The sequence below is a fragment of the Homo sapiens genome, chromosome 1 (assembly GCF_000001405.40).
Source record: "Homo sapiens chromosome 1, GRCh38.p14 Primary Assembly".
In the NCBI taxonomy this organism is placed as follows: domain Eukaryota; kingdom Metazoa; phylum Chordata; class Mammalia; order Primates; family Hominidae; genus Homo; species Homo sapiens.
Window position 1 is genome coordinate 201668082 of NC_000001.11, and position 18447 is coordinate 201686528.

The window sequence follows — 18447 nt, forward strand, 5'->3', positions numbered from 1 at the left end:
CGGGACTGCCTCAGGTTTCCCCTTGAGAAAAATTAAGGTGGTGACAGCAGTGGGCAGAGTATGAAGTCATATCTGCCAAAGTCCAAGCCCCTCTCTCAAAGAGCAGGCCAGCAAGGAGGGTTTGGGATTTCAGCCCCAGATCTAGGAGGCTCCCATCCCTCCGCCTCCTGCCACCCCCTACCAGCTTCCTGGCACCCCTAATCTGATGGCTTTAGCAGGCTTTGTACTCAAACGGGAGTGAGCTTTGCTTCCACACCTCTTAAAAGGTGATTTTTTAAGGATGAAATGTGATGTTCGTTAATGGGCACCTTAAAAGCCTTGGCACAGAGAACCGTGTGCCATGGACTGGGGCATGCCAGCTCCATCCACTCGCTCATCACTCCTGTCCACTGCCACCCATGGCTTTCCTCCTAGGGTCTCTCTGCCTGTGTCCTAGCCCCTCCCCATGGTCTCAGCACCGCTTACTTGTATGGGGTGCCGCTGTGGAAGGCACCTTCTGGGGACTGAGACTCCAAGGGTAGAGAGGTGGTGCTGGGCGTGGGTCGATGCAGCCCCCCACCCCACTGCTTGGAAGGTTGGAGCATGGAAGGGTGAAGGCTGCCGAGAGCCACCTCTGTAGTGTATAAAATTGACACTGGTTCCTAGTCTCGTGGGCTTTTAACGGTCCTGCCTGCCTGTTCCAGACCCCATTGTGTGGACAGAAGGGGGCCTTTGGGATCCTTCCCTCCACCTTCTCACCTCACCTCGCTCCTCTCAGCATCTTCATTAGCTGCGTTGGGGTCACTCCTGCAGCTTGCTTCCTTTTCCTAACTCCTCTGTTGAGCAGAGCCATGGGCGGTGTGCTGAGAAACAGCATCGGGTCCTTGGATGGGTTTTCTAGGGAAAATGCATGACCAATGGCCTAAGCGTGGCTGGACCTAGGGTAGGAAAAGAATGGAAGGTAGCTGAGGATGGAGCTTTGGGACCCTGTGTAGCACTGTGGTTAAGATCTCAGGCATGGTTAGCAACAAATGGCATGGGGATCCTCAACACCTGTCGGGTATCTACTATATGCCAGTCTAGGAATTTCAACAATGAACAAATAGACCCATTCCTTCTCTTCATGGACTTACAACTTTGTGGGGCAGATGGTGTGGAGCAAATGATCACAGAATCCTCAACTCACATTGGGTACATGTTATGTAGGGAAGTAAAGGGTGCAAAGATTTGGATTAGAGAGGCTGGGCCAGGGAGGGCTTCTCTGAGGAGGTGAGCCTTCAGCCAGGGCTCTGAGGCTGAGCAGGAGTCAACCAGGCAGAGGGACAGTATGTGTCAGCACAGAGGTCCGAGGAGGCTCAAGTATTTGAGGAAAGTGGAAGAAGGCCACCGAGGTGGCAGTGGTGCAACATGAAGCTGGGAAGATGGGAGGGTGAGAGGGTGGGCTGGGCCAAACAGGGCCTTGTAGATGAGGGTCAGGATTGTGAATTTTATCCCTACATCCAGTGGAAAGACAAGAAAGCTTTTAATTGGGGAAATGACATCAGGTTTGTGTTTTTCCAAAGTCACTGAGGCTGCTGTGGGGAGAGTAAGTGAGAGAGGCAAGAGTGGTGGGTTCCTGGAAGACACTAGAAGCTGTTAGAGCCATCCAGGTGACACCACAGTGGCCTGGGTAGGGAAACATCATTGCAGATGTGAGGGTTGGAGGGGCAGTAAACAGATTCCTGCAGGCTCCAGGGAGGGAGCTGAAGTGGAGAGGCTGAAGAACTGACCAGGGATTCCCCGGGAAAAGAGACAGGGACTTGTGGGCCTGGTGCACTGTGTTCCCTGAGCCCACAGTGAGGTTTCTGGTGACACCAGGATAAGGCTTCTGAACCCCAGGAGCATCTCTGATCCTGTGCATTGATTTTTTTTTTCATTTTTACTTTTTTAAAAAATAAAAGTACTTCATTTTGCCTAAATACAAAAGTTCCTTATGTATAAAGGAAATAAATTTGATAACAAAACCCTTTAGTTTTCTAATAGGGATACCTTTTTAAAAAGGTAAGCTCGGGCCGGGTGCGGTGGCTCATGCTTGTAATCCCAGCACTTTGGGAGGCTGAGGCTGGCAGATCACGAGGTCAGGAGATCAAGACCACGGTGAAACCCCATCTCTACTAAAAATACAAAAAAATTAGCCGGGCGTGGTGGTGGGCACCTGTAGTCCCAGTAACTCGGAGAGGCTGAGGCAGGAGAATGGCGTGAACCTGGGAGGCCGAGTTTGCAGTGAACCGAGATCATGCCACTGCACTCCAGCCTGGGCGACAGAGCGAGACTCCATCTCAAAAAAAAAAAAAAAAAAAAAAAAAAAAGGTAAGCTCATCTCAGCTGTACTTAGGGCACATGAGATTCATATAAATTTTGAGCTCAGGAAAGATGGAGGAGCAACTAGAGTGTCCTGAGCAGGCAGATGTGGTGGTAACTGTGGCAGCAGCAGTGATGGTGGCAGTGATGGTGATGGTGGTAGAGATGATGGTGATGGTTTGATGATAGAGATGATGGTGATTTTTTGTTGATGATGGCAGTGATGATGGTGATGTTTTGGTGATGATGACAGAGATGATGTGGTAATGCTTTCTTTGATGATGGTGGTAGAGATGCTGGTGGTGTCTCGGTAATGCTGGTAGAGATGATGGTGATGTTTTGGTGATGGTGGTGGAGATGCTGGTGGTGTTTTGGTGTTGGTGGTAGAGATTATGGTGATGTTTTGATGATGGTGGTGGAGATGCTGGTGATGTTTTGGTAATGGTGGTAGAGATGCTGGTGGTATCTTGGTGATGGTGGTAGAGATGATGGTGATGTTTTGGTGATGATGGCAGCAATGATGGTGGTAGAGATGACGGCAATGGTTTTGGTGCTGGTAGCACCAATGGTGATGACTAGAGCAGTCATCCTATCTGCAACTTCAGAGGCAAGGTTAGTAAAGGACACTCACTGTTATGGCAGTTGTGATGCTGGTCATTTCTGCCCCAAGTGTGCCCAGTTATAAGAGCTAAAGATGATGTCTAAAGGACCTACTTACTTCACTTCTTGAGGCAAACGGTATTACCGAGCCCAGGACCGTGCTGGATACTGTGGAGTTCTAGAAGAAGGGTAGAAGTGGTCCCTGCCTTCCGCGAGGGTATTATCTTCCCCAGGATATAACCAAGTGCTAAATCTCAGTGTGCCATCTCCCTGTATGACATTGATCCCTCTTCATATGTCCTTTTTACGGGCTGAACTGAGGAGCTCCAGATATGTTAAGGTGCTCCCTCTTCAAAGCCGACACCTCCCCTCCATACCTGCTTCCTGCCCCACCCCACCTACACATACCTCTGAGCAGGTATGAGACAGGTTAGAGTGGGCAAATGGAACTTTGTTGGACCAACAGGGAAAAATGTGGACACTGAGGCTAACAGTGCTACAGTATGACCTTGAGCAAGTCATTCTACCTCCTGGGGCCTCAATTTGCTCATCTCTCCTAAATAGAGAATAATATTTGCTCTACCCTTTCTAGCTCAAAAAGCTGTGCGGAGGACCAAATGAGATCATGAATGTGAAAACTCCTGCACTCCTAAGCGTTGGGTGGACGTCACTGGGAGATGCAGACCCTGGGCACGCTGGGTCTCTAGGCAGTGGGCATTTCTCACAGAATCTCCTAGCTATCTGGTCAGCAGACCTGGCCATAAGGGGCTCTGGTCTGGGAGTTCCCATGGGGAACCATGCCACTGGTCACAATACCGATGCTGGCTTCTATCTCTGGTGAGTAATGTCAGGCTGTCTCGAGGTTAAACCTTAAAAGAGAGGCTCCATTTCTCCACAAGGAGCAGGCCCAGCTTAGGGTAAAATGTCAGAGATATAAGACTCTCTCTGCCATCCTGATCCTCCGCATCCCGGCCTCTCTCCCACTCCCACTCTATCAGCAGTGTCCCGTCTCTCCTCTTTAGCCTGCCAAAGCTTTCCTCTCTCTTCTTCCTTCTCTACTTTCTCTCAGGACTGAACCAAGAACTCACTCACACTGAGGCCACTACTAACTGACAACAGCCTAAAGCACTGTATTTGAAACGTTTTTTCTCCCACCTTGATCCTCCAAGTCAGAAATACATTTTTCAGCAAACTCAGTACACACATACTGAGTCAAAAGTTTTATGAAACAATACTATGCACAATATATTTAAGTTTTTTGTATGTGTGATTTCTTGATTGTATTGTATGTGGTCTAATTTTTTTTCAATTGCTGGTTGCAATCCACTACATTGATTTCATGATCCACAAATGAGTTACAGCCTGCAATTTGAAAAGTCCCTGGCCTAAAAGAACCTTCTTTCTAAGCACAGAAAGTCCCTGGGAACTGGTTGTCAAGACAGTTTACCCAGATTTTGGATAATAGAGCAATTTCTTTGTGCCAGGCCCTGTTCTGGGTGCTTTATGTATAATAGTTCAGTGAACCCACACAGCCCTTCTATGAGGTAGATGTTATTGTGATCATCATTCACATTTTATGGGCCAGGAACCTGAGGCAAAGAAAGGTTAAGTTCCTTATCTAAGCTCTTACTGCTAGTAAGTGGCAGAACTCAAGACGCCGTGTGTTTAACCATTGGGCTCTGCTGCCTTTCAGGGTGTCATAGAAATAAGGTGGCTTTGCAGAGGGATATACATGATGCTCTAAGAAAGCCTATAAGAAGTCCCTGTGGTCAGAGCAGGACTCAGATGCTTCTGGAAGGCAAGCTTGGTTTGCATGTTGTAAAAAACCTGCCAAACAGACTGGGCTCTGAGAACTTACCGCCCAACAGACGCTCAAGCTCGACTGCCCTGTGGACGCACATAGACTGATGGCGATGCCAGTGGGGACGACTGAAGCCCTTGGGGTGCATGTTAGGCCCACATGTAGAACTCTGCCCACTGGCCAATCAGCAAGCAGTACCGAAGAAAAGCCTGACTCTGGTCTTTACAAAAAAAAATACTGCCGTTAATTTTAAACACACCTCTTTTTGCAGGCTAAATAGAAAAGTGAGCTTAATCTACACTCTTGCTGTTCTTTAATGAATTTATTGTTTTAGGCTCTGTGAGAATGCAATAAAAGTTAAAAATGTATTTCAGAACACAGTGCAAATGTGTCTCCGCATTTGATGGATTGCTTTTGAGTCCAACACTTCCGGCCCGTGGGCAGGCAGGCCCCACAGATGGGCCGCGGCATCTACGAGCAGAGCGAGAGTGCGTCTATAAGGGATGGTCGTGGGAGGCACACACTTATCAGATTTCATTTCTGTTCTCTTCTCTTGGCATAGTAGCTGGAGAGTGGTAAAATGGGAGATGGAGAGACAGTGAAACAGCTGAAGTAGCAGCCTCAATTATTTACAGACCAGATTGTCAGCCTCCCAAAAAATGAAAATTGACCTCACATCTCTCTTCTCCTTTTCACAGCTGGGAGGGTCAGGCACATTACTATTGGCCACTCTCAGCATTGGCCATTCTCACCTCCCCATCCCTCTGCATCCTCAGCTAAGCTCAATGCAGAAATTCAAACGCAAGGAACAGGCCCTGCCCTCAGAGAGCCCCCATTCTGATGTGGGAGAGAGGGCAGAAGAGTTCAAGACCCAGATCGTTAACAAGGGAAGGCACAGGCATAGGACAGAATGTATGTAGCCGTGGGCACTGTAAGGGGCATAGCAGTTGAATAGCAGCCTTGTCTAGAGCCTAGATGTGGAATATTGCCCAAGAGTTGCACTTTGTAAACTGAGTCTATAAATACCAAGAGAATGTCGAAGAGAAGCTATTGAAGCCAGGTAGAGTTAGGGAAGGATTCTTAGAAGAGGTCAAACGTGAAGGGCAGCAGTCATGGAGAAGGTGCTTCATCTGAAGGTAGGGCCCAGTCAGTGCCTTGAAGCGGCAACCAAAGACTAGGAAAGCCTAAGCCAACATTTCTCAGTCCTGTTGGGGACTGCGCCAGCCACTGCTCTAAGACCTCGCTGCCAGGCCTGGCAGGTGGCCAGCCCAGGTGTCCAGGTGCCCAGATGCCCCACAGCAAGCCAAGGCCTCAATCCTCCCTTCACTTGATTTTCTGTGAGCCTTGCTTGCCAGCTAAGGTGTAGGGCCCTCCTTAGCTGTGGACGCAGAGCCAAGTTAAGTCGCCATGGTAACCCTCTGGCTGATGGGGACTTGGGTTGCCATGGAAACTTGTCTAAAATCAAAAAGTATTTTGGAAGAGGGGTTGCAGCAGAGAGGAAGGGTGGTGGGGGATGTCTGCCGCAGTGCCGCACTACCCATGATTCTGTTCTGTGCCCTTCTTGGGTTCCTCCTGGAATGAGTGTGTGTTGGGGGGGGTTGTCCAGGGCCCAGCCCAGGGCTTCTAAGAAATAGTCATTGCTGGTACCAGGAGCCCTCCTGGAGGCCCTCCAGCAAAACATGTATGTTAGGCCATTCTTGCGTTGCTGTAAAGAAATACCAGAGGCTGGATAATTTATTTAAAAAAGAGGTTTAATTGGCTCATGTTTCTACTGGCTGTATAGGAAGCATGGTGCAGGCATCTGCTCAGCCTTCAAAGGAGCCTCAGGGAGCATTTACTTATGGCAGAAGGTGAAGTGGGAGCAGGCTTGTCACATGGTGACAGAGGGAGCAAAAGAGAGAGTTGTGGGGGTAAGTGCCACACAATTTTAAATAACCAGATCTCACGAAAACTGGCTGGGCACGGTGGCTCACACCTGTAATCTCAGCACTCTGGGAGGCCGAGGTGGGCAGATCACTTGAGGCCAGGAGTTTGAGACCAGCCTGGCCAACATGGTGAAACCCAATCTCTACTAAAAATACACACACACATAGCTGGGTGTGGTGGCGCGCACCTGTAATCCCACCTACTCTGGAGACTGAGGCAGGAGAATTGCCCGAACCTGGGAGGTTGAGGGTGCAGTGAGCGGAGATCGCGTCACTGCCTGGGCAACAGAGTGAGACTCTGTCTCAAAAAAAAAAAAAAAAAGAACTCACTATGGCAAGGATGGCACCAAGCCATGAGGGATCCACTCCCATGACCCAAGCACTTCCCATCAGGCCCCACCTCTGACCTGGGGATGACCTTTCCACATGAGATTTAGAGGGAACGGCCTCCAGACTACACCAGGTACCAATCTGTCCACCACCATGTCACACCAACATGTCCTCCATTTCCTTGGTGAATGCTTGACAGTATCTTTCAGTGCCAAATCTGCTCCTTGACAAAACCATAAAAGCCACAAAGTTAATGTCCTACTGCTGCCTGTCCCCTGCTCCTGAGATCCCTGCCCCGGGATCCTCCATGCTTATCGTCTCCTTTCTGACCGGGCACTTCTTGTCACAAGGCCAGGGCTGGCCAGCCTCGTGTAACCTCAGCTTCCTCTTCACCATGGTAGAGAGATAAAAGTCCCTGCTTTTAGACAGTGCACTTAGCCTGCTCAAAGGAACTGCTCCATAAACACTACTATTACTTACCATTAACTTACAACAAAAAATGAACCAGGCACTTGGTAAGGTGTTTGTATTTTACTCATCCCAGAGGAATTTGCACATTTAAATATCGTCTCTTTCCCTCCATCTTCTTCCCCAAGTTACCTTTCCTGAAAGTGGGATGATGTTTAAAACAAAGCGATGGAATTTGAGGGGTACAACCCCTACAGTTCTGTCCAAATTCACTTCTCTAAACTCATGTTCTCCCTCCACTCCACCCTAAACCCTGGCCTCCTGAGGCAACGAAGTTTGCCTATCTGGAACCATTTTCTGAAGCTGGATGGCAGACGGGGAGCCTCAAGAGGGAAGAAAAGAATGGCAAACTTTTCATTGGCCCAGTGGCCGGCCTCATAAATCATCATTCATAATTAGAATTATTTATTCCCAAATCACCATCCCAAGCCCCAGTTTCCCCTGTACCTAAAGCTCTTTTCACTTCTAGTTCAAGAGAGTCTTGCCCCCTCTCTGCGTCTCAAAAGTGATCTCTTCTCTTCCTCTAAACTCACCTGAAGCTTTCACCAAGTATGCTGGCCGGTTCTGCTTCCTACCCTATTGCCTACCAAAAGGAGATAATTCCAGCCCCTCTTTCTGAGATAGGGTGTTAATGAATCCTTACTGAGGCACAGACCTCTGGCCTCCTGCAGAGAGGTCCTCCTGGAAGTGCCCTGGGGACTCTGGAGACCTGGCCTCCCAGCAGCCACTCCCTCTGCTTTTAAGAGGAAGCTTTAGCCTGAGAAAGTTTGACTCCTTCCTGAAAGCTGCACTTATTTCAGCCAGGCTGGGCTCAGGTTTCAGGGCTCAGGGACTCTTTCTCTCCCTTTCTCCTTCCCAAGACTGAAATGCAGCTGCCCAGAAGTGCTGAGGAGGACACAGAGTCGGCTTCCTAGGCACAGGCCCAGCTCTGTCCCCTTTCCTTGTGCTGGGACCTTCAGTGGAGGGGAGGAGTCAGGGAGCCTCAGGGAGGCAAAGCAGGCCACACAGCGAGGGAAGCGGCTGGGGAGAGCTGACTCGCAGGAAATAGTTTCACCCCAGTGGTCCAGGCTGGGGTTCCCGGTAGCTCCTCCACCATTCTCCCCGCAACACCCAACCAGCTCTGCTTTTAAAAGGTGAACACAATCTTTCAGAAGCTGCAGCCCAAGCCCTTTCTGGCCCTGGCGAACCTTCCCCATTCCCCTCTTGCCAAACATTTTTATACCAAAATAATTAGATAATTAATAATCATGTCAAATACTGTGTTTCTGGCACTCCATACTTTTTAAGCTTTGGAATCTGTGTGTAATAGATCTAAATAGCAGCCCACAAACTTGGCCAGGCAACAAACATCCCATTCTTGATTGTCTTTAAACCAATGTAATTCTACTTCTGAGCCCCTACCCTCCTGAGTGGCAAGACATTTCAAGTCAGAATTACTGGGGTCTGGTTGGGCGCGGTGGCTCATGCCTGTAATCCCAGCACTTTAGGCGGCTGAGATGGGTGGATCACTTGAGGCCAGGAGTTTGAGACCAGCCTGGCCAACATGGTGAAACCCTGTCTCTATTAAAAATACAAACATTATCTGGTTATGGTGGTGCGTGCCTGTAATCCCAGCTACCCAGGAGGCTGAGGCAGAAGAATCGCTTGAACTTGGTGGGTGGAGGTTGCAGGAGCCAAGACTGTGCCACTGCACTCCAGCCTGGGCGACAGATTGAGACTCCATCTCAAAAAAAAAAAAAAAAAAAGAATTGCTGGCGGCTGGCATCCTTTCCCCCAACCCCAGGCTCACCCCAGGTCCAGAAGGTCTGAGCAAAGCTTGGAAAACAGGAAAGGACCACTATGTTGTGATCCCTGCAAGTTTCCTCAGTGCCTCTCCAGTTCTGTGCCATGGGACATGGACTTCTTTGCCAAGGCCAGCAGCCTCTGCCCAATGTCCCTTCCTCCTGTTTACCCCACCCCGTCCCCCTCAGGGTGTGGGAATGCATCTGACTGCTTGCTCCTGGGACTCACGGTGCTTTTTTCATTTCTAGTTCAGGAGAGCCTTGCCCACTCTCTGCTTCTCAAAAGTGGTCTCTTCCCTTCCCCTAAACTCACCATCTTTTTTGTTTGTTTGTTTGTTTCATTTCTGAGATGGGGTCTCCAGCCCAGGCTGAAGTGCAGTGGCATGATCTCCGCTCACTGCAACCTTCGCCTCCCAGGCATGGGCGACACTCCCACCTCAGCTTCGTGAGTAGCTAGGAACATAGGCATGCGCCGCCACGCCTGGCTAATTTTTTTTATTTTTTGGTAGAGATGGGGTTTCACCATGTCACCCAGGCTGGTCTCAAACTTCTGAGCTCAAGCAGTTTGCCCACCTCGGCTTCCCAAAGTGCTGAGATTACAGGCGTGACCCACCATACCCGGCCAAACTCACCTTCCTAATAGCCTGAAGCTTTCACCAAACATGCTGCCCCATTCTGCTTCCTATTCTGTCCAATGTCCCCGAAGTTTAGAGTTTTGAAACCTGGTGACCTGCTCAGAATGGGAGCTGGGGAGTGGAATTACACAGAGGGAGGCACCATGAATTAAACATCTCAGAAATGTATCCTGCCAAATGTGATTGCATTTTCGCACCACCCTGATAAAGTAGGTAGGACAAATATTAATATCCCCAAAAGGTAAATGAGGGAGCTACGTTATGAACTGACTTGGCAGTGAGTTTGTGGAAATACTAGAACACAAGTCCGGGCCTCCTACCTCTCAACGTAAGCTGCTGCTGCCAAAGCAAGCCTTTCTGAACTTTCCTGAAAGCTGCTGATAGCGCTCCAATGGCTGGTGTGTTTCAAGTGCTTATTGTGTGCAAGAAACTGAACTAAGCACTTTATGAGTAATAGTTTGATCAGTCTTTACTCCAACTCTTTGAGGTAGGTGCTCTTGTCCCCATTTTACAGATGAGGGTGTTGAGGCACAGAGAAGGCAAGGACTCCGCTGGAAGTCACAGAGTTGATAATTGCCACAGCCAGGATTTGAAACCTGCACTCTTAACTCCTCTCCTATAGTGAGTTTCCTAGTAACTTCAGCCCCTTCAGCGAAGAAGAAAGGAGTGATAAAGGAGTAACTGTATCAGCAATTTTGTTTAGCTTTCTGACTTCACCCAGCCTCCAACAAAAGAGGCTGCTTTCCAAAGTCCCAGGCTGCATTCATCCCTGCAAATTCATTGTTTCTTACCACCCACTCACCACCACAACGAATCTCCCCACAAGCTCAAACTCAAGGACACACCTCCCTCTGTCTGTCCCCCCTCCCAACCCAAACTCAACAGCATCAGCTCTGAGAGAAAAAGTCGAAGGAGGAAGGCTCCCACCAGAGAGCCCGTGAGGCATCCAGTGGGGTGGAGAGGGGTTTGGCAGCCCCTCCCCTCCATCTGCTTCCAGCTGGGACACAGGATGCTAGGGAGGGGAGGCTCCCGTGGAGACAAAGGTCGGGGAGCCCAGAAGGGAGGAGGTGGTTAGGATGCTGGGGGTTTGGAGGTGGGGCTATTTACTGGGGGGGAGACAGCAATGTGCAGGAGTTACCCAAATGAAGCCCCCTCCTGCCTGACTGCAGCGGGGAGCCAACCTCCTGAGCCTGCGGGCAGAGAGGCCACAATTAAGGCAGAGGGAGGCCAGCTGGCCCTCAAAGCACCTTTCTCTTCACAAAACCGGCAGTGGTCTCATTTACAACTCATCTCCCAAAGGGCTTGGAGGTGCTTGGAGAACCAGAAACCCTGGTCCTCTAATTACCGGTGTGCATCTGGGAAAGTGAGTCAGCCACGTGAAAATGAGCAGCCCAGAGCTCCTTCCACCCCTAAAGGGCAAGGTCCTGATTTTTCCATCTCAGACTGCCTGGCACCCCTGAGGACCCCCTCTGCTGAAAGCTGTTTGTAGGTAACCTTCTCTGTGGTTTCTATAGACCTCCTCCTTCCTCTCAACATCTCCCTTCTGAACCCCTACAAACCAGTTATTGAAATGTATGGTGCCCTTACTATGTACCAAATACTTATTCTATTTAATAACTCTGCACATTGCTGTCTTCCCCCAGTCACCAGATACTTCACGTGTCTTAAGTCCTCATGATAGGCCGACAAAGTTGAAATTATTTTTGTCCTCCTTCTGCAAATGAGGAAACTGAGGCAGAGAGGTTGAGTAACTTGCCTGAAGTCATCCAGCTAGTAAGTTTTGGAAAGGGGTTTTGAACAGGTGTCTGGTTCCTGGCCACTGCACTCTGCTCTCTCAGGGAGGCTTTGCTTTGGAGTGATGCAAAGAGGGATGTGGGGCATGGAGCATAGGTTTGTCATTCCTATATAAATCATAATACTTGTAAATTATTTGGAATTCTTCTGTATGAGAGACTTGTCTGCTCTCCCCCATTTATTCAGTGATTGATTTATATCACAATGTACTCATGGGAGTGTTTATCTTATACTCTGAGTTATAATTCAGTACTATGTATGTTAGTCTGTTCTGCATTGCTAAAAAGGAATACCTGAGGCTGGCCAGTTTATAAAGAAAACAGGCATATTTGGCTCATGGTTCTGCAAGCTGTACAAGCAAGGCACCAGCATCTGCTTGGCTTTTGGTGAGGCCTCAGGGAGCTTTTACTCATGGCAGAAGGTGAACGGGGAGCGGGTGTGTCACACGGCAAGAGAGAGAGGAAGGAAGTTCCAGTCTCCTTTAAAGAACCAAGGCTGGGCGCGGTGGCTCACGCCTGTAATCCCAGCACTTTGGGAGGCCGAGGTGGGCGGATCACCTGAGGTCAGGAGTTCGAGACCAGCCTCAACATGGAGAAACCCCATCTCTACTAAAAATACAAAATTAGCCAGGCATGGTGACACATGCCTGTAATCCCAGCTACTCGGGAGGCTGAGGCAGGAGAATTGCTTGAACCTGGGAGGTGGAGGTTGTGGTGAGCCGAGATCGCGCCATTGCACTCCAGCCTGGGCAACAAGAGAGAAACTCAGTCTCAAAAAAAATAATAACAAATAAATAAATAAAATAAAATAAAGAACCAGATCTTGGGTGAATTAATAGAGTGAGAACTCACCCATTATAGAGAGGACAGCACTAAGCCATTCATGAGGGATCTGGCCCCATGACTCAAACCCCTCCCACCTCCAACATTGGGGATCACATTTCAACAGGAGATTTGGAGGGGACAGAACAGCCAAACCATATCACTATGTTTTTTATTTTGTTGCTCAAATTAAATTTATTTTGTTGCACCCTTCGCCCAGTGGGGGTCTGGAGGGTGCTGCTCTAGCCTTTGGGACAGAGAAAGGAGAATGGTGGGCAGGGCTCCACTGCAGACCAGCTGGGCTGGCCTGTCTCCCCAGCTGTGATCGCAACGCCACACTTCTTGCGCCCATGCTTCTTTACTTCTCTGTACCTGACCCTCACCCTGGTTCAATCGCAAGTCTTGTTGCTTCTGCCTCTGAAATATTACATTGTCTTTCGTCCCCAGCCATTGTCCTATTCACACCATCATCTCCTTCATGAATGTTTCCTGACTTCCCTCCTTCCAGTTCACCCCCATACACTCCTCTGGGGGTGCCTTCCTAATGCACAGCTGAGACCATGTCACTCCCCAGAACAGAGGCCTTCAGTGGCTTCTGCAGAATAACATCCTGATTTCGCATCCAGCATTTCAGGCCTCCACAATTGCACTTTCTCACCTTTCTAGCTTCTCCTTTCTCTTCCCTACCCAAACCATCTGCCAGCATTTCCCTGAGGGAATTCTGTGAAACTTGTTAATTGGCATTACTTAAAAATAAAAGACCCTGTGGTCAAATAAATCTAGGAAACTCTGGGTTGAGAAAGGTTAAACAGATTTTCTGATTTGGAGTCTCTGAGACTTTGTATACTAATGGGGTTCGTGAGTCCCCAGGAATGGGTTTAAAATATGCAGAATCTCCCCAGCGTGTTTGTCCATGGGATCCTGCTTTGGCAGAACACTGGTAGGGCCAGCAGTCCACGAGGCCATGTGGGAACATTGCTTCCTGTTCGGTCCAGCTGGACTCCTTGCTCTCCCCCGAGTCAGCCTCATTTTCTGGCCTCTGTGTCTTGGATTAAGCAATATCCCCAGCCTGGAAACACCTACTTCCTCCATCTTCACCTATAAACATCTTACCCATCCTTTAAGAATATTTTTCCAGCCAGGCGCAGTGGCTCACGCCTGTAATCCTAGCACTTGGGGGGCCGAGGGGGGCAGATCACTTGAGGTCAGGAGTTTGAGACCAGCCTGGCAAATATGGTGAAACCCCATCTCTACTAAAAATACAAAAATTAGCCAAGGGCCGAGTGCTGTGGCTCACGCCTATAATCCTAGCACTTTGGGAGGCCGAGGCAGGTGGATCACCTGAGGTCAGGAGTTAAAGACGAGCCTGGCCAATGTGGTGAAACCCCCATCTCTACTAAAAATACAAAAATCAGCTGGGTGTGGTGATGCACATCCGTAATCCCAGCTACTTGGGAGGCTGAGGCAGGAGAATTGCTTGAAACCGGAAGGTGGAGGTTGCAGTGAGCCAAGATCGTGCCACTGCACTCCAGCCTGGGTGACAGAGTGAGACTCCATCTCAAAAAAAAAAAAAAAAAAAAATCAGCCAGGTATGGTGGCACATGCCTGTAATCCCAGCTACCTGGGAGGCTGAGGCACAAGAATCACTTGAACCCGGGAGGCGGAGGTTGCAGTGAGCTGAGATGGTGCCATTGCACTCCAGCCTGGGCAAAAGAGCAAGACTCCATCTCAAAAAAAAAAAGAAAGAGAAAAATGTTTTCCCCATGGTCCCCCACCCCTACCGCAGCCACCAACCTCTTCTGAGGTTCTTTTGAACCTTTGTGACAATGCCTCTGATGGCATTCACTGGCTGAAACTATTTTAGCTTTTTTCTCCATTTGTCTGACAGCAGTCCCCCACTCTCCCTGGTCAGGCTCTAAGAACCTTGGTGATAAGGGCAGTGTCACTCATTATCTTATTTTCTTTAGCATCTACTACATATTGTAGTTCTCCTTGGCATACTCAAGGGATTGGTTCCAGGACCACTGACTTATAACCAAATCTGTGCATAGTCAAGACCCGCATTCAGCTCTGCAGAACCTACGTGCTATGAAAAGTTGGCCCTTGGTGTAGGCAGTTTTCACATCCCGGGAATACTTTATTTTCATTACATGCAAGGTTGGAAAAAAAAAAAAGTAATGTGTAAGTGGACCCACTAAGTTCAAGTCCATGGTGTTCAAGGGGCAACTGTGTATCAACCTGGCTGTGCCTCAGAACCATCGATGTAATTTTTAATTTCTTACTAAACTTTTAATATTAGAATAGTTTTAGATTTACAGAAAAGTTGCAAGGCTAGTACAGAGGGTTGACATACCCCACCCCCGTTTCCCCTGTTGGTAACATCTTACATTATTAGGGTACCTTTACTGCAATTAATGAACCAATAATGATAAATTATTATTAACTTGGAAGTCCAGACTTTATTTGGATTTACCTGGGTTTTAGCTCATGTTCTTTTTCTGTTCCAGGATCCCATCTAGGATAACACATTACTCTCAGTCATCAGATTTCCTTAGGCCCCTCTAGGCTGTGACAGTTTCTTAGACTTTCTTTGTTTTCGATGACCTTGACAGTTTTGAAGAGTACTGGTCAGGTATTTTGCAGAATGTCCTGCAGTGGTTTTAACTGATATTTTTCTCATGGCTAAACAGGGATTATGTGTTTGGGGGATGAAGACCACAGAAGTAAAATGCCATTCTCATGACATCCTATGAAGGGTCTATACCGGCGATCCCCACCCTTTTTGGCAACAGGGACCGGTTTCATGGAATACAATTTTTCCACGGACAGGGGTTGGGGGATGGGGTGGAGATGGTTTTGAGATGAAACTGCTCCACTTCAGATCATCAGACACTAGATTCTCATAAGGAGTGTGCACCCTAGATCCCTACAATGCGCAGTTCACAATAGGGTTCACCTTCCTATGAGAATCTAATGCTGCTGCTGATCTGACAGGAGGTGGGGCTCAGGCGGTCATGCTTGCCTGCACACTCATCTCCTGCTGTGCGGCTAGGGTTCCTGCTGTGTGGCATACTCACCTTCTGCTCTGTGGCCAGTACTGGTCCATGGCCTGGGGATTGGGAAGCCCTGGTCCATGCTACCAACATGACTTATCACTGTTGATGTTGACCTTAATTATCTCGCTAAGGTGGTGTTCATTGAGTTTCTCCACGGAGTGTTACTGTCCTCTGTCCCCTCCCGCCCTCCCCCATTTCCATAGTGTACTCTTCAGAAGGAAGTCACTGTGTGCAGCCACGTTCAAGGAGGGCTTCACCTCCTGGAGGGGGAGCGTCCACCTAAATTCTTCTTTATGGGAGATTTGTCTCTTCTCCCCCATTCATTCATCATTCATTCATTCATTTAGATCAGTATGTTCTTGTGGATGTTTATTTCATACTTTGAGTTATAATCCAGTTCTACATTTTTTATTTTGTTTTCAAAATTGTTTCAGCTTTGGCTGTTAGGGGAGCACTTTTAACTGGCATCTGTGTCCCTTTGACATACTCCAATCTTTATTTACATATTTATTTCCTTGCTTTTCGGCCCTACAAGATGCTCTAGGTTCATTTTGCACATTCCCTGCCCCAGTGCTCCAAGAATCAGCTATTTCTCCAAGGAATCTTAGTTCCTTTAATGGGAGGAGGTTTAGAATCTGAGATCTGAGTGCTGGGTGTGCCTATTGCTATCACTGTGGTGCATAGACCTAGGAATATATGTGTTTATATTAACCCATGTATGTAAACATAGCTGTCTATCTCTCCATATATATGTGATATATATGTAAACTGTGTGTGTGTAACTAAATATTAGTTAATACTGATGTCTGCAACGCTAACCTAATAGCACGTGGTTCATTCTAAACTTTCTTCCTTTATGCAGCCTTTTTTTTTTTTTTTTTAGACAGAGTCTCACTCTTGTCGCCCAGGCTGGAGTGCAATGGCTTGATCTCGGCTCACTGCAACCTCCGTCTCCCAGGTTCAAGCGATTCTCCTGCCTCAGCCTCCTGAGTAGCTGGGATTACAGGCATCTGCCACCACGCCTGGCTAATTTTTGTATTTTTGTAGAGACAGGGGTTTCACCATGTTGGCCAGGCTGGTCTCGAACTCCTGACCTCAGGTGATCCACTCGCCTCAGCCTCCCAAAGTGCTGGGATTACAGGCGTGAGCCACTGTGCCCAGCCTATGCAGCTTTAAAAAACCCCAATTCTTAATACAAAAAATTAGCTGGGTGTGGTGGCGAGCGCCTGTAATCCCAGCTACTCGAGAGGCTGAGGCAGGAGAATGACGTGACCCCGGAAGTGGAGGTTGCAGTGAGCCACGATCATGCTACTGCACTCCAGCCTGGGCGACAGAGCAAGACTCTGTCTCAAAAAAAAAAAAAAAACCCACAACCCCAGTTCTGGCCGGGCGCGGTGGCTTATGCCTGTAATCCCAACTGTTTGGGGAGGCCAAGGTGGGTGGATCACTTGAGGTCAGAAATTCGCACTGGCCAACATGGTGAAACTCCATATCTACTAAAAATACAAAAATTAGCCTGGCATGGTGGTGGGCACCTGTAATCCCAGCTACTCAGGAGGCAGAGGTTTCAGTGAGCGGTGATCACGCCACTGCACCTCCAGCCTGGGCAACAGAGTGAGACTCTGTCTCAAAAACAAAACAAAAAAAACCTGGTTATTCTGAATCACAGTCTTTTAAGGCTGGGCCAAAGGCTACACTCCAAAGGCTGAGAAACACTGTAGCAAGCACTCAAATGCTTGCTAAATTTAATTGAGTTTAGAGAAACTCAGACCAGCCCCATCACAGATGTGCAGGATTTCCAGCCTTGGGGCTGTAAGGCAAATGAGCTCGCACCTTCCCCCAAGTGATGCTCTGTAGGAAACAGCTTGTAATCATTGAGAAGGTGTCCATTACCCCATGTTTGGGTGTTTCTGCTCATTTCCTCTGTATCTGGTTCCCTGAACACCTGATATTTCCTGATGTGAGGCCAGACTAACTGGGATCCGTTACCGCCTGTGGCAGAATCTTCGGTGACAGTCCCTGCCTGTCCCCCTTGGCCCAGCAGCCAGTACATTTTTCCTCTGTGGTGATAATCAGGGCATGTATGTGACTCTAAACCAAGTCCACAAGACTTGAAATGACTTACAGATCATTTTACAAATGAGGAGCAGGTCCAGGAAACATAGCCAGCTAGTGGCAGAGCAAGTAGAAGAACCTAATCTTCCTGTGCTCTTCGTATCCACGCTGAACCCCGTCCATTCTTCTGAATGCCCTGGGCTGGAATTGTGATGATACATGATGGATACATGGGAAACTCCTGAGCTGCATGTCTTTAAGGCCACTGTGAACTAAAATACCCCTGAATGCAGTCTTGGCTTGCTTTCTGCAGAATGTCCCTGTAAAGGGTACCTGAGACAGCTGCAGATCAACATGACAAGATGTTCTCAGCTCACTGCTTTTATTTCACACACATCTGAAGCTCCAGAGCCAGAGAAGAGGCTGTGGAGAGATGCACACCTAATAAGCACCGAGGGACAGCTGCCTGGCCCTTCTAGATGGAAGGGAGTCATGTTGGTCCTCAGAGAAATCCAGGCACCCATCTTTAGCACCTTCACTCCTCCCCCAACTGCATCTGCCCCTCCTCTCAATCCCCCATACTCACTCCCCTCAAGCTGCCCTCTTGCTGCCTTCATCCCTGCCCCCTCAGTATTCCATCCAGACCAGCCCTCCCCCAGGGTACCATGCTCTAACATTATCTCTCACACCTTCCCCAGGTCCCCATCAAAACACCCATTTCTTTAGTCAAGGTGTTTGGACAGCAGTCTGATTAAACTATAGGACAAATTGCTTCAGAAATTCAGACTTGTCATCCCACTTTGAATAGGTGGGGAGCAAGCCCCTGACTCTAGGCATTTGGATGCCCAGTTGTTAACTGCAC

At 48.5% G+C, this 18447-nt stretch overlaps 1 protein-coding gene across 4 annotated transcripts in view, besides 2 other annotated features; it reads left to right on the forward strand.

The window, feature by feature from the left end:
• The window catches only part of NAV1 (neuron navigator 1), a 287843-nt gene that overhangs the window by 128955 nt on the left and 140441 nt on the right, over window positions 1–18447 (forward strand). The gene's annotated exons all lie outside the window — the stretch shown is intronic.
• Window positions 16170–16671: an enhancer, noted in NCBI's record as "H3K4me1 hESC enhancer chr1:201653379-201653880 (GRCh37/hg19 assembly coordinates)". NCBI's record gives its function as "activates a minimal SCP1, AML or CMV promoter by ChIP-STARR-seq in primed H9 embryonic stem cells {active_cell/tissue: H9 hESC(primed)}" and the evidence as "EXISTENCE:reporter gene assay evidence [ECO:0000049][PMID:30033119]".
• Window positions 16672–17171: an enhancer, noted in NCBI's record as "H3K4me1 hESC enhancer chr1:201653881-201654380 (GRCh37/hg19 assembly coordinates)". NCBI's record gives its function as "activates a minimal SCP1, AML or CMV promoter by ChIP-STARR-seq in primed H9 embryonic stem cells {active_cell/tissue: H9 hESC(primed)}" and the evidence as "EXISTENCE:reporter gene assay evidence [ECO:0000049][PMID:30033119]".